The 25,745-nt window shown below is 47.9% G+C and overlaps 1 protein-coding gene across 13 annotated transcripts in view, besides 3 other annotated features; it reads right to left on the bottom strand.

Annotated features, from left to right (window-relative positions):
- Positions 78-25,745, bottom strand: part of HNRNPM (heterogeneous nuclear ribonucleoprotein M) — a 44,140-nt gene continuing 18,472 nt past the window's right edge. For 2 of the 13 annotated variants that reach the window (NM_005968.5, XM_047438860.1), the window contains 13 exons: positions 25,688-25,695; positions 25,506-25,599; positions 23,677-23,868; positions 22,804-22,957; positions 21,608-21,657; positions 20,358-20,418; positions 17,765-17,866; positions 15,484-15,528; positions 14,948-15,025; positions 5,981-6,034; positions 2,787-3,589; positions 2,117-2,168; positions 78-501 (listed from right to left, as the gene is read on the bottom strand). In NM_005968.5, coding sequence (NP_005959.2) covers positions 338-501; positions 2,117-2,168; positions 2,787-3,589; positions 5,981-6,034; positions 14,948-15,025; positions 15,484-15,528; positions 17,765-17,866; positions 20,358-20,418; positions 21,608-21,657; positions 22,804-22,957; positions 23,677-23,868; positions 25,506-25,599; positions 25,688-25,695 — 1,857 coding nt within the window. In that variant the 3' untranslated portion in view covers positions 78-337. Of the gene's footprint in view, positions 502-2,116; positions 2,169-2,786; positions 3,590-5,980; positions 6,035-14,947; positions 15,026-15,483; positions 15,529-17,764; positions 17,867-20,357; positions 20,419-21,607; positions 21,691-22,577; positions 22,958-23,676; positions 23,869-25,505; positions 25,600-25,687; positions 25,696-25,745 lie in introns of those variants that run through there. The other 11 variants (XM_005272478.4, NM_001297418.2, NM_031203.4 and 8 more) reach the window with 10 other exon arrangements.
- Positions 1,583-1,632: an enhancer, noted in NCBI's record as "active region_13917". NCBI's record gives its function as "activates an Ori minimal core promoter by ATAC-STARR-seq in GM12878 lymphoblastoid cells {active_cell/tissue: GM12878}" and the evidence as "EXISTENCE:reporter gene assay evidence [ECO:0000049][PMID:35858748]".
- Positions 1,923-2,012: an enhancer, noted in NCBI's record as "active region_13916". NCBI's record gives its function as "activates an Ori minimal core promoter by ATAC-STARR-seq in GM12878 lymphoblastoid cells {active_cell/tissue: GM12878}" and the evidence as "EXISTENCE:reporter gene assay evidence [ECO:0000049][PMID:35858748]".
- Positions 15,391-15,440: a silencer, noted in NCBI's record as "silent region_10026". NCBI's record gives its function as "represses an Ori minimal core promoter by ATAC-STARR-seq in GM12878 lymphoblastoid cells {active_cell/tissue: GM12878}" and the evidence as "EXISTENCE:reporter gene assay evidence [ECO:0000049][PMID:35858748]".

The raw sequence follows: 25,745 nt of genomic DNA, 5'->3' as shown, positions 1-25,745 counted from the left end.
GCTTGGACTGGAAGCTCGAGTGACCCCAGCTCCCCACACCTCGCGTGGTTGCCCACACAGCACACACAAGCAGGCCGTTTTCAGGAACCGGTATTTATTATCAAAGTCATATTCGATGTCAACAAGATGCCACAACTACAAAAAAAATTGCGCACATTGCAATCTCAATGCAAACAGTCAAATGGAACCCCAGTCATTAAAAAAGTAATTCAAATTACCCCAAAAAGCAACTGAATTTTTTAAACATCTTTATACATCCAGCCAACAAATTAAAATGGTTAACAAGAAAAAATACAAATTCAGAGGTCTCGTATCGATGTTTAAAAAAGGCAACTGCTTAAGCGTTTCTATCAATTCGAACGTCAATCTCTCGGCCACTCAGCTTCATGCCATTCATCATCCGGCAGGCTCTCTCGGCCACCTCTGGCGACTCGAACTTAACCACGCCACACCCCTTGGACTTCCCATTCTCCATCTTGATGTCGGCGTACAGCACGTGGCCTAGGACAGGGAGGGAAGAAGAGACGACACTCAGTCCCGATTTTGTTAGATTTTGGTGGACAGAGTCAAAAAGGAGAGGCCCTGAAGCCTAGAGCACAAAGGCTCAGAATACAATGGCGAGAACCAATGACTACGGCCCCCTCAGCCACACTGCCATTCTTCTGCTAACAGAGCCTGCCCCTGCCCCATGAAAAGCCTTCCTGGCGGATTCAATGCACGCCTTTACGCTTCAGGAAGTTCAAAAAAGAAGGCGCAGTGTAAAGCCAGCTTTATAGGCAGAAAGTTCCCATACATTTTACAAAGTCTTCATTTTTGATATGCCACCGCCCCTGGTTACAAAGCCATCCGCAATCCAATGGACACGTCTGTACTGTCCAAATGAAAGCCAGCAGGTTTCACTTATTCATTTGAGCACCCGTTAAGCATCCAGATATGTGTCAACGCCGTGGACAGAGCCCTAGAGGGCAAAGGCTCTACTCCAGGAGTACCAAAGGTGGTAGGGCCACAATGCCAGAGGTGGGAACTCAGTGCCTAAGAGAGGGCCCAGGGCAGGTAGGGTGGAGGGGTCCTCAGGGGCAAGTTCTGAGTGAGCTTACACAGAAATTCACCAGAAAGAAGACTTGCCAGTAATTGGCTCACACGAGAGCATTGCGGGACACGTGCAGCACTTGCCGCTCAGGTTCTGGGACAGGAGGGAGATGGAGGAGGATAGGACCAGGTCTTCAAGGGGCTTGTGAGTCTGGACTTCCTCTTGAAGGCACAGGGCCGCTCCAGGCATTGCAAAAGTGGGGGCTGGGGGCGCTGTGATCCCACTGGCCTTTTCAGAATATCTAGCTACAACATGGGAACTCAGGAGTGGGGAAAGAGGTGAAGAATGGAGCAAAGAGGCAGATCATGACTCAACGGCTTGCCCCAAGAACCATGGAGAAGCAGCAATGGTGGTGAAATCGGAGCCACTGCTGAAACAGGAAGCGGGAGGACAGTGCGGAAGCAGCTGCCCAGACCTCTAGCTCAGGCCCCTCTAGCTAAAAAGAACAGAGGTGGTGCATGCGGGGTGGGGGCTCACCCTGGAGGGCAGGGAAGGAAGACAACTTGCTTTCAGCCACAGACAGAGCCCTCCAGAAGAGTTGCCCGATGTGCCAGGAAACCACAAGACCTTAGCCTCACCCTCACAGGAGCTGCTGTGTGCCCAGAGCCTGCACCGCCTCCCCATGGCACCTGCTGGGCTGTGTTCTCTCCGAGGCCCCACACCAGCTGTGCTGAGGGGAAAGCGACCTCGTCTGGGATGTATTTATTTAGCCTTGCCACCTAGAAGCCAGGTAACCTCAGAAGGAAGACTCTGCCTGACTCATCTGTGAAATGGGGACACTACTACCTTGTTTCAAAGACTCAAAAAGAAAAAAGGAAGTAAGGATGAAATGAGAACACAGCTGAAAAACATGTGACACATCACAGGACACTCAACAACCTGCCTGAGCATTGGCGTGGGCAGAACATGGCAAGGCCATGGGTCCTGAGCCGACGGAGGGGGCTGGGAGGGAGGTTTTGCTGCTGACTCGGCTGCGTCACCAACAAGCACGAGGGAAGCACCTACAAAGCCGTTCCCAACACTTACCGCACTCGTTGAATTTGTCCTTTAGCATCTTCCATGTGAAATCGAATGGCAGCTGAAGGGGAGAAGAAAAGGGAGACTGATGCGTGATTAAACCAAATCCTAAGGCATGCCTTGCAGCTGGCTCTGAGGGCCATGCTAGATTTCTCACTATACCGAGAAGCTGGCTGCCCTTCAGACTGAGGCGATCAGCAGGAAACTAATAGATACATGTGGGACAAGGCTGTGAAGCGGCACAGCCAGCTCCCTCCCTGGGGCTCTGCCTGTGGGAGCACCGTGCAGGATGGGACACTCAGGCCTGCGGTGCGCAGCCCACAGTCACTAAATAGTGGCTAAGGGTGGCTGAGCTGGGGAAAATAATTCCGTTACAGCCACTTCTTTCCCTGGACCATCGTGCAACACATAGTGCCTCTTCAAGCCAACCAATCAGAAACTGGAGTCTCTGAGCTCAGCGTCTGCTCCATATTCTAGCACAGTGGAGAAGCCCAGGCTCTTCCAGAACCCACAGTTCTCACATTCCTTACTTGTCCCACTAGCATAAAACGTTTGGGACAGTGGCAAGGAGGTGTGGTCCCCTTTGAAGGGCGCCACCTCTGACTTCATCCTGCTGATCTTTGCCTCCCCTGTCCCCTCATGCTCACCACCACCAAGAAGTTCCCCAAGAGCCACTTACATTTCTCACAAATATCTGGCAGGCCTTCCTGGCCACCCCAGGAGCATGGCCTCCAGCTCCACCAAAGGAACCTGCGAAGCTTCCTCCGAAGTTGCCACGCTCCATCTCGATGGCACGGTCAAAGCTGGCACCGCCACCGCCACCCATGGCCAGGCCCATGCGCTCAATGCCAGCGCCCAGGGCCGGGCCCATGGCAGGGCCCATGCGCTCGAGGCTGTTGGCACCCATGCGCTCCAGGCCCATGCGCTCGAGGCTGTTGGCGCCCATGCGCTCCAGGCCCATCCGCTCCAGATTGTTGGCGCCCATGCGCTCCAGGCCGGTGGCCATGCGATCCATCACGGGGCCCATGCGCTCCAGGCCAGCTCCCATACCTGCGGGCACCATGCGCTCCATGCTCAGGCCCATGCGCTCGATGGCAGGGCCCATGCGCTCCACGCCAGAGCCCATGCGCTCAATGGTCTGGCCCACACGGTCGATGGGAGCGGCCATGCGCTCAAGGCCGAAGCCCATGCCGGCACCCATGCGCTCCACGCCAGAGCCAATGCGCTCCATGGTCTGGCCCATGCGCTCAATGCTGGAGGCCATGTGGTCGAGGCCCAGCGGGCCCATGCGCTCAATGCCGGAGCCCATGCGCTCCACGGAGCCCATGCGGTCCATGACCAGGCCCATGCGCTCGATCTCGGAGCCCACGCGATCCATGCCGTGGCCCAGGCCCGCGCCCATGCGCTCCATGCCGGCACCCCCGAGGCGGTCAATGCCAGGACCCATCCTCTCGATCCCAGGGACGCTTCCTCCACCTCCACCTGAAACAGGGACACAAAACACAGGTGGGTGTCAAGAACTTGAGTGTGCGTGTGCACAACACGCCAGACCACTTCAGCTCATGGGCATGGATCAGGGGTAAAGGCCCACCATAATTTACCATTAAGACACCCCTCAAATGTTGACAACAGCTACAGCTGTGTGGTGGGCACATGGGGGCCTCCCAGCATTCTCTCTGCTCTATGCCACAGCTGAGATTTCCATAACACAACTTCTAAAGAACACCCCTGTATGTGTGTCTGTGAGGTGCTAGTGTCTGTGACAAGCTTTGTGAACCATGGACGTCAATTCCTGAGACATCTGAGGTTTCTCCATCAGCAGACACTGAGAAATGCTCCAGGGGGAGGCATGGACACCCCCCACTCGGGGGGCCACCCAGGGTAATGAACAGGAGTTATGTGGAGACAAGTCGGAGTCACTCCCACCTTCCCCTCCCAGCCTGTCCCTCTAGGATGCTCTGCTGGGGGCCACTCTGGCTGCATTTCCTCAGCGCTCCCAGGGCACAGAGAAAGGATTTTCGGCCACACCATCAAGCAGAGGTCAAAAAAACACACACCGAGAGATCCTCTGTGTACAAATGCACACAGCTGGCCACTTTTGGGGACCCTATTGTCAGGGAAACCAAATGACTTGCTGGCTTTGGAAAGAAGATGTTGATGGCACTGCAGAGTGGGCTCTGGTAGCGGCTGGGGGTCAGTCAGCAGAACGAAGGGACGCCCCCACCCGTGGTGCTTGCAACTCTGGAAAGCAGGGTCTGGCTCCGTCAGCAAGGCCACCCCTTTCCACATGCCGAGTTTGGGGCTCCTCCCCGAAACCCTGTCGCTTGCCTCTGAGAGTGGCCATCAGCCCAGAGCCAGCCTGTGACCGACCCAAGCAGCCTAGTCAAAGATACCAATTCAAGAGGAAACTGGGCAGTTTCTCTAACTGGCTCTGTAACTGGCCACACCGCGCCTGCTTCTCTAGCTGCACAGCACACAGTGAGCGGCCAAAGCAGGCCCGACTCTAAGAATGTGTGACTTTCAGAGGGGAGACGTCTCAGAACTTCCCCACAGTATAAGGAACCTAGCGAGAATGGGCACTTTGCCCAAAGGCATCAGAAATGAGGTGGGGCAGCTGGGTGTGGTGGCTCATGCCTGTAATCCCAGTACTTTGGGAGGCCAAGGCGGGCGGAACAAGGTCAGGAGTTCGCGACCAGCCTGGCCAACATGGTGAAACCCCATCTCTACTAAAATTGCAAAAATTAGCTGGGTATGGTGGCGTGCGCCCGTAGTCCCAGCTACTTGGGAGGCTGAGGCAGGAGAATCGCTTGAACCCAGGAGACGGAGGTCACAGTGAGCCGAGATCGTGCCACTGCACTCTAGCCTGGGCGACAGAGTGAGACTCCGTCTCTCAAAAAAAAAAAAAAAAAAAGAAATGGGAGGAAATGGTACCAGCGTGGAGCTCCAGAGCCAGCCCAACACAGAAGTCAGGAGGTGAGATGCCAAGATACTCAGAGGGAAAATCAGGCTGAAAAAGTACATTTGGGCCAGGTGTGGTGGCTCACATCTGTCATCCCAGCACTCTGGAGGTATGCAGGTCACTTGAGGCCAGGAGTTTGAGATAAGCCTGGGTAACATGTCAAAATGCCATCTCTACAAAAAAAATCAAAAAATTAGCCAAACCAGGTGGCACACGCCTGTAGTCCCAGCTACTTGGGAGGCTAAAGTGGGAGAATCGCTTAGGCCTGGGAAGTTGAGGCCGCAGTGAGCAGAGACTGCACCACGGCACTCCAGCCTGGGAGACAGAGCGAGACTGTCTCCAAAAATGCTCAAAAAGTACATTTTGTTCTCAGTATCCATAAAGCTGTGTATGAATGAAAGATTCAGAACAAAATGTTTCCGGCAGTCATCACTGGGCGATGGGGTTTCAGACCATACTTTCTTCATATTTTCCTAATGAGTACATTTATCTATTTTACAAGCATTTATTACTTGTTGGGTGGTGTGCTTTCAGTCTTATCATCAAGTCTAAGGAAAATATATTTACTTTTAGGAATTTATAATGTGGAAAACAAAACCCCCAAAAGAGAGGTACTCTAACAATGAAGATGGTCGGCCTGTGCACAGCACGTGCGGAAGCACTCTTTCACATGCATTCACTCTCCACAGCATCCCTGAGGCAGGTACTATTACACCCCCATTTTACAAATGAGTGCTATGAGAAACAGAGAGGTTCAGTGACTTGCCAAACGTCACACAGCTAGAAAAAGGCAGAGCTGCTCCCACCCCGGGCAGTCTGTGTCAGAACCCGCACTTCTCACCACTAAGCTCTACAGTCCCCAGCGATAACAGCCTGTTCTAAAAAAACAAAACATCAAACTAAGCGGTTCCTACCTCCTCCCTGCTTTGCAATGATCTCTCCTCTCTTCAGTGCATTACTTAGGATTTCTAAGGAAATCAGGAAGAAAAAAAAATTAGCCAAATTCCTCTATGGCAATAGAAATGTGCTCATTACAGATTCCAGAGTAGAAATACTACTAATAAAAATGACAAGATAAAGGGAAAGGGGTTTGAGAAACACACGCACAGACAAGATCATTTTACAGAGAACTAGGAGAGTCCTTGATGCTGGGTCACGATGCCAAGACCCCACGTAGCTCCAGAGTCTGAGGCCCAGCGTGCGGGGTCACCTGCGAATGCGCCCAGCAGAGATAGGAGTCATATGCATTCATGAACTGAGAGCCAGAGCAAGAAGAGGGCCATCGGGTCTCGCTCAGCGGCAGTTTTCTAAAGCTGGTCCAGGCTCTCAGGACTGAGGCTTCCTTGCCTCCCCTGAGCTGGAAAGTAAGCCCCCACCCCCACCCCAGCCAACTTCTTGTTCAGAAGACCGCCCAGCATCACCCACTTGGAGCCCACATTTATCCACCCAGAGGCACCTCTCATTATCATAGAGCAAATTAAAGCTGCAGCTCCACGGACAACCTCAACGCTAACAAATGAGCTCTGCGCGGAAATCCTTGAGCATGCCAGCCTTGCCTGAAATGAGCTGGGTGTGCTGTGACTAGGCAACAGATAAGGTTTCAGGAAAATACCTAAATTGCACCCCCCACCAAGTATCCCAAACACAGTGCTGCTGCTCACTTGCCCACGGTGCACCCACACCTCTTTAAGGTTTGTCTGATGCTATCATAGCATTACCTTTCCAAGCTTCTGGTCCATCTTTTGCTATGTAGAAGACACTTGTACCCACCCGCTCTGGTCTCAAAGTATATGCTCAGCAACTTGGACATTAGCCACGAGGCACATTTCGCTTTATGACCACGGCCACAAAGCCATTAAAACCTGTCCCCCGGCCGCGCAGTAGCTCATGCCTGTAATCCCAGCACTTTGGGAGGCCAAGGCGGGTGGATCACCTGAGGTCAGGATCAGCCTGGCCAACATGGTGAAACCCCGTCTCTACTAAAAATTAGCCGGGTATGATGGCAGGTGCCTGTAATCCCAGTTACTCAGGAGGCTGAGGCGGGAGAATCGCTTGAACCCTGGAGGCAGAGGTTGCAGTGAGCCGAGATCGTGCCACTGCACCCCAGCCTGGGCAAGAGTGAGACTCTGTCTCTAAGAAAAAAAAAAAAAAAAAAAAAGACACCAAACAACAACAACAACAAAAGCACCTGCACCCCACACAGCTGCTTCTTATATCCCAACTAACTGCTGTGGGACAAGGTGGGAAAGTTCACCAAGAGACACAGACTTCAGTCTACCAGCAGGTACAGCTCATTCTCCCGGGACGCCTGCGATCCTGCCCGGCATGCCTGAGCCGAGGCTGGCTTTCCAGCACCTAGACCAAGCTTGTCCAACACGTCTTACTTTGCTTTGTTCTGTTTTAGGCTTTTTGGCAGCCTGAAACCATGGTTTTTAAGTTTCTGTCTCTAGTAATAAGTGGAAAAGAGGGATAAGGGGCTTTACTGACCCAAACAGAAACCAACTGAGAACCCATGACTATATTCTCCCGTGCACACCCCTGAACTAGATCAAGCTTCCAACTAACACACCTGCAAGACAGCTGCAAAAGCTTTCAACCAACATGCCACTGATTTGCAGAGAATGGCGGAATTCTCCCATCGGCATTCACAGGCCTCCCCACAGACCACAACTGGAGCCTGTTCTGCCCATGCTCCTCCCCTGCCTCACAGAGACCTGCACCCACCGCCGCCAGCCGCTCTATCTGCGCACACCTGCTGCCTGTGCCAAGCCTGCTGAGCCCCCTAGCAGAGCCAATGCCCTGAGCAGCATCTGGCAACCAACGTCTCCACCAGCGTCCTCACTAGGCCACTTGGATGCACAGACCTCTGGCGATGTCCCAAGCCACCCTTAGTATCGCCTCAGCTACACCTCATCCTTGAAGGCCAAAGACCACAGGCCTATCCAAATTTTTGAAGCAGCAAGTACAGCTGTTTGCACAAAGGAGTGCAAAGATCTACTGCCTAGGCACAGGAAGGGGCACCGAGTAGGAAAGCACTATGGAAAGGAGCACCACAATGGTTCACCTCTCATGGCAAAGGACACGGGAAAGAGGTCAAGAATTGAATCTTGAAAAACCAACCCAACCACTCTGAGAACCTGACGAGATCACCTTACTCATGTAGGTCTGATCACAGCGGCAGGAGGGAATTCCGGGACAGAGATCGCACAGTCCCAATCAGAAAGAAGGTGTAACCGCAGCGGGAGAGGTGGCGCCCTGCCGGTCAGGACAGGAACAGTTTCCTGTGGCCACATGAAGTGACCTCAAAGGCAAGAAGCCCACATCCACCTCTCTGTGCCACTCATGTGCCACTCCAAAAAGCGGAATTAGGCGAGAGGTGCTGCAGAGTGGCAAGAAGCTGAAGGCTCTTAGCAAGAAAAAGTTCCTACAGAAGTAAAGATGCCTTTTTTTTTTTTTTAATTTTGAGACAGAGTCTCACTCTGTCGCCCAGGCTAGAGTGCAGTGGTGTCATCTCGGCTCACTGCAACCTCTACCTCCCAGGTTCAAGCAATTCTGCCTCAGCCACCTGAATAGCTGGGATTACAGCATGCACCACCACGCCCGGCTAAATTTTTTGTGTTTGTAGTAGAGACGGGGTTTCACCATGTTGGCCAGGCTGGTCTCAAACTCCTAACCTTGTAATCCACCTGCCCAGCCACATGCCATCTATTCTTGCCATAGCTATCCACAAATTAGTATTTGCAGGCAAATGACAGTAAGTTTTAATTTTTTTTTTTTTTTTTGAGATGGAGTCTCACTCTGTCACCCAGGCTGGAGTGCAGTGGTTTGACCTCGGCTCACTGCAACCTCCGCCTCCCAAGTAGCTGGGATTACAGGCACCCGCCACCATGCCCGGCTAATTTTTGTATTTTTAGTAGAGACGGGGTTTCACCACATTGGCCAGGCTGGTCTTGAACTCCTAACCTCGTGATTCACCAGCCTCGGCCTCCCAAAGTGCTGGGAATACAGGCATGAGCCACCGCGCCCGGCCAGTAAGTTTTAAAATATTTCTTTGGCCGGGTGCGGTGGCTCATGCCTGTAATCCCAGCACTTTGGGAGGCCGAGGCGTGTGAATCACGAGGTCCCGAGTTCAAGACCAGCCTGGCCAAGATGGTGAAACCCCATCTCTACAAAAATACAAAAAATTAGCCGGACATGGGGGCACGCGCCTGTAATCCCAGCTACTCTGGAGGCTGAGGCAGAGAACAGCTTAAACCTGGAGGGGCAGAGCTTTCAGTGAGCCAAGATTGTGCCACTGCACTCCAGCCTGGGCAATAGAGCGAGACTCTGTCGCAAAAAAAAAAAAAAAAAAAATTTTTTTTTTTTTTTTTAAATACACCGCTGGCCAGGCATAGTGGCTGTTGCCTATAACCCCAGCACCTTGGGAGGCCAAGGCGGGAGGATCACTTGAGCCCAGGAATTTGTAATAAGCCTGGGCAACATACACTCTGTCTCTACAAAAAAATAAATTAGCTGGGCATGGTGGCATGTGCCTGTGTTCCTAGCCACTCAGAGGCAAAGGTAGGAGGATTGCTTCAGCCTGCTACAGTGAGATCATACCCACTGTACTCCAGCCCAGATGACAGGGAGAGACTGTATTAAAAAAGAATCTTGCCCCTCTGATGAGCTGAAGGATGAATCTAATGACCACCTTTCTAGGGCCTTCATAAATTTGAAGAATACAGCTAACATAAAATGGACATCAACAGACCTGGCGTGATGGCTCACACCTGTAATCCTAGCACTTTGGGAGGCAGAGGCAGGTGGATCACTTGAGGTCAGGACTCAAGACCAGCCTGGCCAACACAGTGAAACCCTATCTCATTAAAAATACAAGAAAATTAGCTGGGTGTGGTGGCGGCAGTGCCAGCTACTCAAGAGTCTGAAGCAGGAGAACCACTTGAAACCGGGAGGTGGAGGCCGCAGTGAGCTGAGATCGCACCATTGCACTCCAGCCTGGGCAACAAAGCGAGACTCTGTCTTGAAAAAAAAAAAAAAAAAAAAAAAAGAAAGAAAGAAAAAAGAGGAGGAAATTGCTCTGCCACCTAACCAAAACTGAAAAAATAATTTCTCTGCATACGGATAGGCCTAAATACTCAAGACCTTCCAACTTTAGAAAACCTCTCTAGTCGGTCTAGATGCCTCTGTCAAAGGCATCAGCAAGTGCACAACTCACTCCATCCTGCTAACTGGACTGGACACCACAGCACCCTGGGGTAAGGAAACTCCTGCCCCAATTAGCAGGGCTTTGAAACACGCTCCAGGCCTAGGGAGCCAGAGGGCCATGAAACACTCTCCAGGCCTAGGGGGCCAGAAAGTCAAGTACACGCAGCAGTTTCCATTCCCACAGCCTGCACAACCTTATGCCAATTTTTTAAAAAGCCATCTGAAAAGACTTAAAGACAAATAATGCTACTGATATAGCAATAAAACACTAAAAGACCTAAATTTTTTACCTAGGTCTAAAACAACATCTTTTTTAAAAGCTTAAAAAAAACCAGCTGACTCTAAGAGAGCAGGGACATCAGGTAAACCCTGGCAGCCTGCACCCCAGAGGGCGGACCCCAGCCACTGAGGCCCACTGGGCCTTCTTACTCATTCCTCTGCCAAGAGGCTCTCCAAAGCTTCGAGATATCCCCATCTCCTTCCTGGCAAAGTCTCTTTCAAGTCCTCCACCCATGCCACGCTCCATCTCTGTGGAAAAATCACCCTAGGCCTTTCCAGGAATACCACTGTGTCTGAGACATCAAAAACAAAACAAAATGTATACACACGACAGCCACCACCAAGTCAGCATGTTTAACTCTTCTGCAGGAAACCATTATTCATTCTTCATTCCCTAAAAAACAAAGTCACTGCAACTGAATCCCTGAACAACCTACCTAACATAAGTCCATCAAGGACCAATGAACAACTTCCATTACAGCCACACAAACCACAATACTGGGTACACCAAGCATTCGCTACCACAGTAACCAAGAGGTCCCCTGCAGTGCAGCTAAATCAAACGTAGGCTGCAGAAGGTAACACCTACTAGGCACTCAACACATGCCCTACCCCAAAGGCTTTGTGTATAATTCCATCAACTCTTCACAACCATGCCACGCACGCCTGTTACCCTCCACCACCACTACCACTTTAAAAAGAAATTGAGGCTCACACAATTTAGTAACTTGACCAAGGTCACATGCTGGTGAGAGGTGAGGCAAAGGCTGGGACTCAAATCCAGTGCAGAAGCCCATCCTCTAATACAGAAGCCTGTGCCCTAACACAGAAATGCGTGTGCATGGCGAGACGTATGTCTGCACAGAAAGACCTCTCTGCTGACAACTGCAGTGGCTGCATCTACATAACGGGGTTTGGGTCACAACTTTCTCATATTTTGTAAGGTTCTTTTTTTTTTTTTTTTTTTTTTTTTTTTTTTTTGAGACAGGGTTTCACTCTGTCAACCCAAGCTCCCAAGCTGGAATGCAGTGGCGTGATCATGCTTCACTGCAGCCTCGACCTCCTGGGCTCAAGTCATCCTCCCACCTGAGTTTCCCAGGCAGCTAGCACAGGTGTACGGCATCATGCCCGGCTAATTTTATTTTTTGTAGAGAGGAGGTCTCACTATGTTGCCCTGGCTGGTCTTGAACTCCTGAGCTCAAGTGATCCTCCTGCCTCAGCCTCCCAAAGTGTTGGGATAACAGGTGTGAGCCACTACACCCAGCCTTACAATGTCTTTTAAAACAAAGGTCCTAGCTTCTGCCGGGAAAGGCCCACCACAGTGGTCACTTGCTTGATAAGCCTTTCGTGATTCCTACTGCTGGCCACTTCTTTCCTTGTGCATCCATCTCACGCAGGCTGAAATGGGGATCACACTTTTCATGCTGCGAGGTCCTTGAAGAATCTCTCCCTCCCATGCTGAGAGGGCCTTGAAGAATCTAGTTATTAATCATCTCACTCCTTAGAAATGTCAGGTAAGATAGGTGCGATGTAATGAACACCTTGCATTATACAGCCAGAGTCCCTATCTTTCAATAAAATAAGCAATTCCATTAGAGATGTGGCAGCAGCAGCACATTATGAATTAACAAGGACTGGCTGCCAATGGTGGGCTTAACATTCCTAGTTTGAATTAACCCAAGTGACCTCATGGGTCAGCATGCTCCTCATGGGTGCTATCTGCTGGATAGCAGAGCCCAGGAGTCGGTGGTGGTGGGAGGGTGGGGGGGACGGCGGCAGGGACAGAACCCTGCAGCCCCGCAGCGGCATCCTCATGGAGTTCTGCTGCTCTCCTTCCATCCTGCCACCTGTCTGCAAGAAGGCAGCACCCCACTCCAGACAAGCATGCCACAGGCTGGCATCAGCATGTTGGCAAGGACCTCATAACTCATCTTACTGGCTGTCAACAGGGCCCCAGAGCTCAGGGAGCACCGTGAACTCCAATTTACACCCACAAAGGGTAGCATTTTCACTGTCAAACACTGCCTCACTACAGTCAGTTTTTGACATTTAACAATCTCTCTTTTTTTTTTTTTAACATTAATCTCAATGCGCTGGGATTACAGGTGTGAGCCACCGCGCCTGGCCGACATTTAACAATCTTTTGATTTACATTTTTATAGCCACTCTATCAAGATTTGACTCATGCTGAGTGTGGGTCCTGGGAACCTGCATGACCAGCAGTCTGATGGGAGCACCCATGACCATAATGGCTACACTCTAGTCATGAATTAACATTTCATTAAACCCAAACGTCTGCTTCAATTCTTCCTCCAGTGTGATGTACAGTTTCCTTGCAGTGCCCAAGGGCTCTAGAGCTCATCCCACCCAAACCAAAGAATGCTGGTCAAGTGGGAAGGAGTCCCTGTTCTCAGCTGTAGAGGGTGTGGGGAGCACTCCGAGTGCCGTATCTCAGAACATCTAAGAACAGTCTAGGAAAACACACTCCATTTGTGGTTCTCCAGAGAATCAGCACTTGGAATCCTTTGCCACCGCGTACCCCAGGCTCTGAATCCTGACTGCGAGATTACACCTGCCAGTTCACCATCGACTGTGTCACACGGCTCAGCACAGCTCCCAGGCCAACCCATCCTGATTTCCATCTACTTCTAAACTGCATCACTCTACTCCTCACAGCAACAACTCAAATTCCCTAATGACTAATCTGTTCTTAAAAAAAAAAAAAAAAAAAAAAAAGAGAGAGATGGGGTTTCGCAGTGTTGCCTAGGCTGATCTTGAACTCCTGAGCTCAAGCAATCCTCTTACCCCAGCCTCCCAAAGTGTTGGGATTACAGGCGTGAGCCAGCACACCCAGACTAATCTGCTCTGAGTAACATTTTACCAAGCCAGATTTCTGAAACTTTTTTTAAAAATTAAAATCCCATGCACACACAAGTTACAGGCAAGCTTGAATGTACACTGGAAACGCAGACCTCTGTTGCTTTATTACTAATGGTGACAACTTTCCTACATCCTTTTACCAGCTTCTAGAACAAGGCACCCATGAAGAGGGCAACACACATCATGCCCCACTGCTCCCTGTGCACCGGAAGAAGGGCCTGATCATCAGGGACAGCCGCCTTTCAAGCCTGACAATGATGTCTGTCCTTGTACCATTTTCACATCCTTTGTTATGGCAGACCCGCAAAGGAAGGTTTATACCTAAATCCCTAATGACTTCTCAGTCCAAGAAAGTTTCTGTGTAAAAAAGCAGCAGCTTTCCTGCAGTGAAGGGGAAGGTCAAAGAGTCACCAACACATAAAGGATTTCAAAAAGGAAAATTTACAATTTCTCATGCACACTCTACAGCCCTGCTGGTGCCCTGGGCCAAGTGCTGTGCTGGAGGCACTTCTAAAAGGCAGGATTCCCACATGATGAAGTGCCAGGCTCTGGAGCCAGACAGCCTGGGTTCACATGCAGGCACCACTGTTTACCAGTCACTTGACCTAGGCATGTCACTCTCTGTGCCTCAGTTTCAGATGAAACAAGGATAGCAGTATGTACATATCATGTGGTTCTCACAAGGACTAAATGAAATACTACATTGTTATTATATTATTATATTTCTGCTAAAAAGTTGGGGGCAGGTGCCGAGCACGGTGGCTCACGCCTGTAATCCCAGCACTTTGGGAGGCTGAGGCGGGCGGATCACATGAAGTCAGGAGTTCGAGGCCAGCCTGGCCAACATGGTGAAACTCCGACTCTACTAAACATATAAAAATTATCCAGGCATGGTGGCACACACCTGTAATACCAGCTACTCAGGAGGCTGGGGCAGGAGAATCACTTGAACCTGGGAGGCGGAGGTTGCAGTGAGCCAAGATCGCACCATTGCACTCCAGCCTAGGTGACAGAGTGAGACCCTGTCTCAAAAAAAAAAAAAAAAAAGTTGGTGGAGGATTTGAATTATACTAAACCAGAATTTGCATTATGTAAATGCTAAATTAAAAGAGCCTGTGATTTTTATTAACGCCTCTATAGACAACTTGTAGCTGGGGCAGATGACCAAGAACAACCCTTTGCAGCACTCCCAGAGACAAACTTGATTACAAACTTTAAAGAATCCCTCATACTCGGAGACCATAACCACGAACGTGTACATGCTTTTTAACACTGTACTCGAAAATTACTGCAGAGCTTGGGAACACAGGACATCTCAAAAGACTAGCGACCAAGTGAAGTAAGTCTACTATTATGTCTAGTTTTTGAAATATTTAAGGCAATTCAAAAGACATTTGATTCGGTTGAAAAGCAGAAGTGAGAAACCACTTATTCAGTGGGTCTGCAGCCTAAAAGTCACCTGAGAGGCAACAGCCGGCAAAGGGTGAGTGAAAGCAGGAAGAAAACACGATGCTTACCATTTATCCTGCCCATGTTCATCCCAGATCCAAATCGACCCATGTTTTCCATACCACCACCAAAGGGCCCCTCCATTCCTGCAAGAGAGGTTCACATTTCAGCATCATCCAACAAGACTGCTTAGACTAAGCAGGGAAAGAAAAATTCTATCACATGTTTCAACTGGGGTATCTTCTGCCAAGAACTTACCAAGTTTAAAGGCTTTTGAAAAACAAAAAAAATGCTAGCACCCTTGTTTAAAAATCACCCATCTTCAAAAAGCTGGTCTGATCCAACCCCCTCAATGAATAGACAAGCAAAAAGAGGCATAGAGATGGAGTGGTCTGCCCAAGGTCACAGAGCTAGTTAGTGAGACAGCCAGAACCAAAAGCCAAGACACCCGCTGGAAGGATGGACAGGCAGGAGGAAGTCATTTCTAGACTCAAACTGAAACCAAAGAGAATTTCATGCAGGGTTTAAACAAGAAAGAAAAGAGGAAAGAGAGAAAACTATGCCTAAAAGTGATTATGCTTGTACTTCATTTTAAATTTCTTACCTCCCATTTTATTTATTCCAAATCCTATGCCTTCCATTCCCATTCCTTAAAAAGAAAAAGTCAATGCAAACTAAAATTATGTCAAAGCAGTAAATAACGTTTGAACTTAAAAAGCATAATTCCAAACCAGCAAAAGAACTCAAAAGAAAATCCCTGATGACAAGTATATTTTATATATTTTAATCAGCAAGAAAAAAAGCCCTTACCATTTCAACTGTCAAATATCATATAGCTATTTTTTTTTTTTTTAAACACAGTATTGCTCTGTCACCCAGGCTGGAATGCAATGGCACAATCTTGGCTCACTGCAACCTCCACCTCCCGGGTTCAAGCAATTCTCCTGCCTCAGCCTCCCGACTAGCTGAGATTACAGGCGCCTGCTACCACGCCTGGCTAATCTTTTTCTGAGGGATCTACATACTTTAATGACCCAGTCGGGCAGGGTTTTTGTGTTTTTTTTGTTTTTGAGACAGGGTCTCCTTCTGTCACTGGGGCTGGAATGCAGTGGCATGGTCACAGCTCCCTACAGCCTCAACATCCCAGGCTCAAGTGATCCTCTTGCCTCAGCCTCCCAAGTAGCTGGGACTACGCCACCACACCTGGCTGATTTTTTTTATATTTTGTAGAGATGGAGTCTATGTCGCCTAGACTAGTCTCAAACCCTCGGCCTCCAAATTGCTGGGATTACAGGCATAAGCCACCACACCAGGCCTCAAGTTAGGCAGTATTAAACATGAAATAGAATTATAAGACACATTCTATGGAACATAAACTTTTTAGAAAATTTTAGGGAACAGAAGTAGATTTTTTTTAAGAATCCCTGTTAAGGGTGGGCGTGGTGACTCACGCCTGTAATCCCAGCACTTCAGGAAGCCGAGGCGGGTGGATCACCTGAGGTCAGGAGTTCCAGCCCGGCCTGACCAACATGGTGAAACCCTGTCTCTACTAAATACAAAAAATTAGCTGGGTGTGGTGGCACATGCCTGTAATCCCAGCTACTTGGGAGGCTGAGGCAGGAGAATCACTTGAACCCAGGAGGCAGAGATTGAGTGCGGTAAGCTGAGATTGAGCCACTGCACTCCAGCCTGGGCAACAAGAGCAAAATTCCGTCTCAATAAATCAATCCCTGTTAAAGGTAAAATCTTCAAAATAAAAACCAGTTCCTAAAAACACCAAGACTTCCTCCCCAACCCCCAGTCTTTCTGTTTAGATGTCAGACATGGGGTGTGTGTGTTTTGGGTCGGGGGAAACGTTAACAGCCATTTGAAGTTGTGGCCCAGAATTTAAGTCAGCCCCAGGGTGACTCTGGAAGAGAGTCTAGGGATATGCAACACTGACAATGGTGGGATAGAGGGGCTTCCATATTCCAATTTCAAAGGATTCCAACAAAGACCAAAGTCTAAGGTCATAAAAATGACATATTCCTTAATAGAATCAAAATACATCATTACACAGCAATGAAAATGCTAAACAGCAAAGCCTGAGTTTATTCTACACATCAAAGCTTTCATGCAGGTTTTTTTTTTTTTTTTTTTTCTGGAGACGGACTCTCGCTCTGTTGCCAGGCTGAAGTGCAGTCATGTGATCTCAGCTCACTGCAACCTCCGCCTCCCGGGTTCAAGCAATTCTCCTGCCTCAGCCTCTTGAGTAACTGGGATTACAGGCGTGCGCCACCACGCCCGGCTAATTGTTTTATTTTTAGTAGAGATGGGGTTTCACCATGTTGGCCAGGATGGTCTCAAACTCCTGACCTTGTGATCCGCCCACCTCGGCCTCCCAAAGTGCTGGGATTACAGGCGTGAGCCACCGTGCCTGGCCTCTCCACCTTTTTTGCATCTATCAATGCCCCTAGCTCTCTAGCAGCAGCTGTGCAAACACCAGGAGGGCCCAAAGGGGTCTTGGTAAGACACTTTTCAGGGCACTGCGGCAGTGCTATGGTCCCGTGGTCAGGAGACCTGCAGCCTGTCAGTAACTGACAGTGTGACCTTGAGCAAGATCAACTCTCTGGCTTGCCTCCTCTTATCAAATGGCACAACTATTTCAGCTTAGAAGGTTGTTGTCAGGTTACAATGAAAAAGCATAATGACTTTTTAAAAAATGACTCAACTTGATAAAAATACAAAATACTGCCTTTATTCAAAATGAGGCAGAGATGAATAAGGAGGGAATTTTGTCCCAGTTAAATATTTATTCCATTTAAACTACTCAAAGTCCAGTTGTCCCAATAATTAATAATTTTCACTTCCCCAAACCACCAAGCAAGGTGCACTGTCATTCTCACCTGCGGGACCTATGTTTCCCATTCCGATGCCTTTATTCAGGTGATTGGCATCAATGGGTTGCCCTCCTGGTCCTAACCCCATGCCAATACCACCAAGGCCATCTGGAAAGAAAAGAGAAAGAAGCTTAGTTTTCCCCTATTTAGCAAACCTTGACCCTCAAAGGAAAAGAGTGTTTAGTGAGTTGCAGCTATCCACTTCAGCCTACCCACCCCCACCCACCAGTGACCTCAGGGCCCAATGCAAAATTCAACATCGGCACACTTGGAAACAGAGCCTTGTTCCGGCGTTTGGGATATGTGTGTATACAACAAAGGCGGCTGAAAACCAACACGGGAAAGTTAACAACCCCCACACTAAGATTCTTGAGAGCCTATTTGTTTCACTAACCCATGGACTGAGAACTGTCTGATCAAAAAAGGTGACTCAAGACATCAGGTGGCAAGCAGCACAAATGTGCCCAATCCCTAGTAGCCCAAAGGATGTTTCTCATGAAAAAACACGTTACAAACCAGCCAATCAACATCCTGGGTGTCCACTACTCTCTGAATCTGGGTGGTTTTAGTAACAATGAAGCTAATGTATGTATTCAAAGAACCTATCTTCCTTCCCCCAAAGCTTCCCAACCCACAACTGGATACCCAGCCCACACTCAACTCCATGCCCTACCAACACAGACAGGGACACAGAAATACAGGCTGGTCTCTGGAAACAGCCAAAAGAGCTGACACTTGCAATATCTGGGGTAACCACCATCTGAGGCTTAAACTACAACCAGGTAAGCTTTTAAAAATCGTAACAAGGGCAGGCGCAGTGGCTCACGCCTGAAATCCCAGCACTTTGGGAGGCCAAGGCGGGTGGATCACGTGAGGTCAGGAGTTCGAGACCATCCTGGCCAACATGGCAAAACCCCATCTCTACTAAAAAAAAAAAAAAATTAGCCTGGCATGGTGGCACATGCCTGTAATCGCTGCTACTTGGAAGGCTGACAGGAGAATCACTAGAACCCAGGAAATGGAGGTTGCAGCAAGCCAAGACCGCACCACTGCACTCCAGCCTGGGCGACAGAGCGAGACTCCATCAAAAAGAAAGAAAAAGGAAGAAAGGAAGGAAAGAAAGCAAACAAAGTTCATTTAAAAAGTAAATAAAACCTGCCACCACTTCCCAGGCGTTTCATCTGATGAACATTCCATCTTTAATTGCATAGCAACAGCAGCAAGAGATCGCCACGGTGACTTACTCTCCCAAAGCACTGAAGGCTTTGAAGTCAAGCCTCCGAAATGGCCGGGAGACCAAGAGCCATGGATAACAGGCTCCCTGGAGCAGTGTGCTCCTCCTCCTGCTCCAGCACAAGAGTCAACAAGAGCCATCGCCATGGTCCAGGGTGACCACTGCTCAGGTGAGCACACTGACAATTTATTTGGGAAATGAGTATGTTATGTCCAGGAAATGCAATCCTTCTCTAACTAATGTTGCCTTTCAACAGATGAGCCTTCTCATGAAGCCACAGATTTCCCTTCAAGATACATCTGTCATGCTGCCATAATGCTACGCTGCAAAGGTGCTCTGGCCTGGGCTCCCATCCAACTCAGTGAGTAGGGCCCTGAGCTTGAGCTGCTGCTCCAGACCAGGCCCCCTCAACCCGCCTGGTGGAGGTCACCCCAGCACAGCACACACAGGCCTCTCACCCTCATCCATCTTTCTTCTCCAGGAGAGCTTTACCTGCGCCAGTGATTCCCTGAGTCGTCCCACCGCTGTATGCACTGAGGTTCTTGCTTCCAGCCTCTGGCTTATCTATGACTCTGCACTAATATTTGCCACTTCTACCTATGTGGTAGCCCATCAACTAGCCTTCCCTGTCACGAGACAGATTTTCACCTGGGTGTCACAAATAGCTGATCCCTTTCCCCTCTGCATACAAATTATTTGTTCAAGACACTTCACATACCATAAAACTCAAAGTATTCGGTGGTTTTTAGTATATTCAGAGATATGCAACTATCACTACCATTTAATTCCAGAACATTTTCATCACCCAAAAAAGAAATCCAACCTTATTAGCAGTCCCGTCCCTACTTACTCCTTCCCGGCCTCAGGCAACCACTAATCTACTTTCTGCCTTTATGCATTTATCTATGCGGAGCATTTCCTGTAGATGAAATCGAGGTTCATCCACACTGCAGCATGTGTCTTTCATCCTGCTGCAAACATCTGCGTGCGAATTTCTGTGCAGATGTCTAGTGTGCACTGCTAGCCCACATGGGACTAACCAGTATCTTCTGAATTAGAGTGCAGCCTGGTTTTCATTCCCTTCACAGGTTCTGATTCTTCCTTCCCCAGGACACTTTCAAAATGCCTAACCACATCCTCTACATCCTGGTATTACAATCCTAGGATTACCATGAGGTAATCCTAACAATATCCTCAAGTTGTGAATCTCTGCTCATTTCTCACCCTGAAAAATCTATAGAAAAGAACTGGCCAAGAGAACTGAGGGCTAACCTGGCACAGGTTCAAGTGAAACCATATGGTAATTTTCTGTTTATTAGTGTAACTCCAATTCAAACTCTCAGCCCTAATCACTGAAACACTTACGGGGAAGTTGTTGTGGACGCTCAGGAGGGAAGAAATCTCCTTTTGGTAAGGCCCTCTCATCCTGAAAGAGAAAGAAAACAAACAAATCTCAGTATCCAGTGCAGCAGTGTTTGCAACAGCAAAAGACTGAAATGGCCCCCCATCAAGAGAGGACCAGCTAAACACATTATCCACGCCATGGAGTAATACGCAAGGGTAGAAAGGCATGCGGAGCATGCTTCCTATTTTATGTCAAGGGAAAAGACACATGGATATTATTGTGGGGGATGATGGGGACCTGGGCAAGAAGTCCAAGTAGGACTCACACTATCTTCACACTACCTTTTCATGCCTTTTGACTTTTGAGTCACGTGAATCTATCATCTATTCAAAAAACTTACCTACTCTATTTAGAGTAATGAAAAAATTGCTTTATAGTTTATCTTTTTCCTGAATTTGAGTCCCAACTAGACTGCCCTCAGCATGTTCCAGTCATGCCTGTAGTAATTATTATCTTTGGCACAGTTACGGCAGAGCAAATGTTTATTAAGATTGAAGTGCTCCAACAGACCTTTAAAAGCTGTCTGAATCAATGACTTAATTATGTTCACAACAGATTTGATGCTAACCAAACATTATACTGTAATACTTTGAAAAACTGGAACCCCACATATATAACCATTCTTTGAAACGGATCACTTGCTCAACCAGGATACCCAGGTGACTTCCTGAATGCGCCATGAACAGTCAACTGTGCAAAAGGAAAAATATCTAATGCAGTCAAGAGCTGCCATGAGCAAAATGTTTTTTTTTCTTCTTTTTTTTTCTTGAGACAGAGTCTCACTCTGTTGCCCAGGCTGGAGTGCAGTGGCACGATCTCGGCTCACTGCAGCCTCTGCCTCCCACGTTCAAGTGATTCTCCTGCCTCAGCCTCCCGAGTAGCTGGACTACAGGCGCGTGCCACCACGCCCGGCTAATTTTTGTATTTTTAGTAGAGACGGAGGAGTTCCACCACGTTGGTCAGGCTGGTGTCGAACTGCTGACCTCATGATCCGCCTGCCTCAGACTCCCAAAGTGCTGGGATTACAGGCGTGAACCACCACGCCTGACCAGCAAAATGTTATTTCTCTCACAATTTTGCTCAACATACTGCACCCTATTTAACTTAGACTAATCCACAAATATTTCATAGTGGCTATATGTACACTCTTATTAATTCCATGTTTTTGCTAGACTTGAGTATATCACAGAGAAAGATCCTACTGACTTACCATCTTGACGTGCATTGGTCTATCAAATAGCAGCTGGCCATTGAACATAGCTGGTATTACAATTAAGGCTATTTCTTGCAATTCTAAAAATGTGCACAAGAGAAATACAAAAAGAAAGAAAAATACTCCAACTGCTACCAGTCCCTCTAAGTGATGAATTTATGAGCAATTTCAATTCTTCATTATACTTTCAACAATAAACATAAAAGGAACAATAAATAAAGCTGGCGGGGAGGACAAGACAACTTCCGCTTATTCCTTAGGTGTGAAGCTTCATTCGTAACCTTACAATTTCACCAAACCATCCTCTTAAGCAGTGGCATCAAGGTTCTCTGAATGTGACCAATGGGCCAGGCATCTACCACTATCTAAACTGAAGGACCATGTTTTCTGGGTAAGACATGCAGTGACGGTCTTGTCTGAGTTGTATGAATGTGCTCCTGTGGGGTACTCTCCAAGGGATTAAAAACTCTAGGCTAAGCCTAGGGTCAAGGAGAAGTGGCCTCTTCCAAAATGATGTCTACTCACTGGAAAGAGTGAGGTCCTATAAGGATGTATTACACATGAAACAACAACCCCACTTTCTCTCTAGTAGCACATTCTTTGGACTTCCTCCTTCAAACCTAGACTCTTCTGAAAAGAAAACAGTAGAAAGACTCATGGGCATATGCCCATGTTGTAACCATCCCCTCTATCCACACTGTATTGAATCAATTCCACCCCCAGAGAACCTTTTTTTTTTTTTTTTTTTTTTTTGAGACTGAGTCTCACTCTATCACCCAGGCTGGTGGTGTGCAGTGGCGCAATCTCGGCTCACTGCAACCTCCACCTCCCGGGTTCAAGCGATTCTTGTGCCTCAGCCTCCCGAGTAGCTGGGATTACAGGCACCCACCACTGCGCCCAGCTAATTTTTGCATTTTTTAGTAGAGCCGGGGTTTCACCATGTTGGCCAGGCTGGTCTCGAACTGACCTCAAGTGATCCGCCCGCCTTGGCCTCCCGAAGTGCTGGGATTACAGGCGTGAGCCACCGTGACCGGTCCGGCCCAGAGAACCTCTTAATTCCACAGTAATGCACTCCCCCTAGTCACATAAAAAACATGAATACACACAGTCACCTCTTCCTCACACAAACCTACATTACTAACACAGCAATTTAGGTCAAACTGTTCATAAGTTGAATTCCTGCAGAAGGATACATATAGCTTGCACAGCTTCAATGGACTGTTCAAAAGTAACAGTGCCTATTCCACGACTTTTTCCATCTTTATCTTCAAGAATGTCTGCTCGGACCACCACACCAGCCATACTAAATACTTCCTTCAGTTTCTTCCAGCCAACTTTATAATCCAGCTAATCGAGAGAGAACGGGGTAAAAACCTCAATGTAAACATCTTAAGAAACACAACATTTTTACTACATGAATGATACATGCTTTGGTTGGAAAAAAGTATTAGGAAATAATGTCACAAAAACTAATCAACTGCAATGGAAATTTTAAAATAGGATTATAAAGCCTGGCCTTCACTGTAAATAAACTGTACCTATAGTAAATATATTGTCTCTTTTCTCAGAAACTTAAGTCACCTCATACTTCAAATTAATACTCATTTTCTGAACATTTTTAAAAAATTGTTTCCCTGATAAGCTTTACCACTCCCCACCCCACCCAACCTACTTTATTCTAAAAATATTTCCCCTTGCAGATGGTGGAGGTATTATCATTCACCCCAGACACAACAAGAGGAAGGTGTCAGTGCACTTCTGCTCGTACAGTCTTACTCTGCACCAAAACTGCATAAAATAAACCAACGGAGAATGCAGACTCGGTTACTGCTTGCGGAAACACCTGCGAAACTCAGGAATCACAGCCCCAACGAGACCACGGTCAAGCCTGTGACTTAGGAATGCAGACAAAGCCCGCCTATAAGGCTGATTTTTAAAGAAATCAAGAACAAAACCCTTCTTTACATTTTTCTTCTCAAATGTGAGAATTACTTTTATAACATATTGACAAGGTCATTTCATAAAGTTCTGATTTTCTACTTTAGACGATGGTTCTGTTTACTTACATTTGCTACAAATACTGTGCTTCCAAGTCTTCCAGCCTGTAATGCATGGATAATCTCATTTGGGATGTTGGGATTATTTAGGATACTGGGTGGGATAGTAATCATTCCTGGGCCACCTGGTCCCATACCCATCCCACCAGTCGTAGCCATCACCTTTTGCATTGCTCTCCTGGCATGTTCACCATCAGGATCCTAAAACAAGCACAAAAGGTGTTACGTTTAACTGACCCAGTACAACGCAAACCATGCTTGCACAGTAAATGATATTCTCAAGACTTAGAAACTGAAAGGTTGTTTGGAAAGCATCTCTCAAATCTATTAACAAGAAAGTCAAATGAACTCAACTACCAGCTTAGAAGAGTCCAGCTAAAGAAATAGGAAAGGAAGAAAAGGCATGAAGTGTAGCACTAAAAACACAGCTCTCAATTGCACTAAGTAAAAAAGAAAAGCAGGGTAGGGAGGGAAACATGATTAGCTGATATAATGTAGAACCGCCAGACTGAAATTAGAGCTTCATGGGCTTGGTATAGCTGAATCTTACTAATTCATCAATGGGGTTTTGTAACTTCTGCAAACCCCGTCAATGGCTTCCAGAAGTTTGAGAAACAGTTCTAGACCACACAAGCGCCCCCATCCTTCAAGTCCTTCAGGTGTTGGAGGCGTGTGTGTGAGGGCTGCGCAGTAAAACAACATCTGGGAAGGTCTGTGAAGCTCTGTACTGACTCTCTTCTTCAACTCTCTGTCCTGTCAATTACCACCATCAGCACTAAAAAAGACATCATAACACATGAGAGACCTTAGACCCTACCAAGCTTCACTCTGAATCTACTCATCTTCCTCCCCAAGAGAAGAGGTGAAAAGAAGTTAAGAGGGATGTTTTTTTGAGACAGAGCTTTGCTCTTACTGCCCAGGCTGGAGTTCAATGGCGCGATCTCGGCTCACTGCAACCTCCGCCTCCTGGGTTCCAGCGATTCTCCTGCCTCAGCCTCCCGAGTAGATGGATTACAGGCACCCCCCACTACGCCCAGCTAATTTTTTGTATTTTTAGTAGACAGGGTTTCACCATGTTGGTCAAGCTGGTCTTGAACTCATGACCTTGATCCACCCACCTCAGCCTCCCAAAGTGCTGGGGATTACAGGCGTGAGCCACTGCGCCCAGCCAAGAGGGATTTAATCAACAAAAAAACCTTCTTCCTCAAGGAATATATTTGATTCAGATGAGATGTGAAAGCAGGTTTGAGGAATAACAAACTCACTTTATTTTTTTATTTTTTAGACAGGGTCTCACTGTTGCCCGGGCTGGAGTGCAATGGTGCAATCTCAGCTCACTGCAACCTCCACATCCTGGGCTCAAATGATCCTCCTGCCTCAGCCTCCCAAGTAGCTAGGACTACAGGCATGCGCCACCATGCCTGGCTAATTTTTGTACCTTTTGTAGAGAGGGGGTTTCACCATGTTGCCCAGGCTGGAACAAACTCACTTTTTAAAAAAAGAAAAAAGATGGGCCAAGAAGAAGGGTCAGATGGAGTAAAACTTAATGGCACAAACCCACGGGCTCATGGTTTGAGAGTCCCTGAGACAACAAGGCCTCAGACAAATCACAGATATTAGAAGGTGGTCAGCAGCCACTCAGGATCTGCTTGGCCACCACCCCAAAGTCCTTGCAGGGAATGGCTGCTGTAGGCTATGACCGACACTCTTCATTAGAAACAACAGGCTGGCACTTGCTTTGTAAATGCCGTCTGGGACCATGACCGTCTTTCCCTAATTCCAAAGTAGGATCACTCAACAATTACACACAGTATCCGCAGTGTTAAGCAAGAGCTTACTTCTTTGACTTTCAGTGGTCTTCCGCTCAGACTATGCTTGTTTAGGACTTCCGCAGCTTTTTTCATGCTCTCTTCCATCTTGAATTCAACAACACTATAGAGTCAAAAGGAAACGAGTCGAGTGAAACCAGTCCTACAAGTTAGAAGGCTCAAATACCAATAAGTAACTAGACGATACTTACGCACATCCCTTTGGAGGAAGCCAGAGACCAGTCAGAAGAGCAAGGAAGGGGAAAAAGA

This window comes from Homo sapiens, chromosome 19 (assembly GCF_000001405.40).
Source record: "Homo sapiens chromosome 19, GRCh38.p14 Primary Assembly".
In the NCBI taxonomy this organism is placed as follows: domain Eukaryota; kingdom Metazoa; phylum Chordata; class Mammalia; order Primates; family Hominidae; genus Homo; species Homo sapiens.
This window is presented reverse-complemented; position numbering and strand designations above follow the sequence as displayed.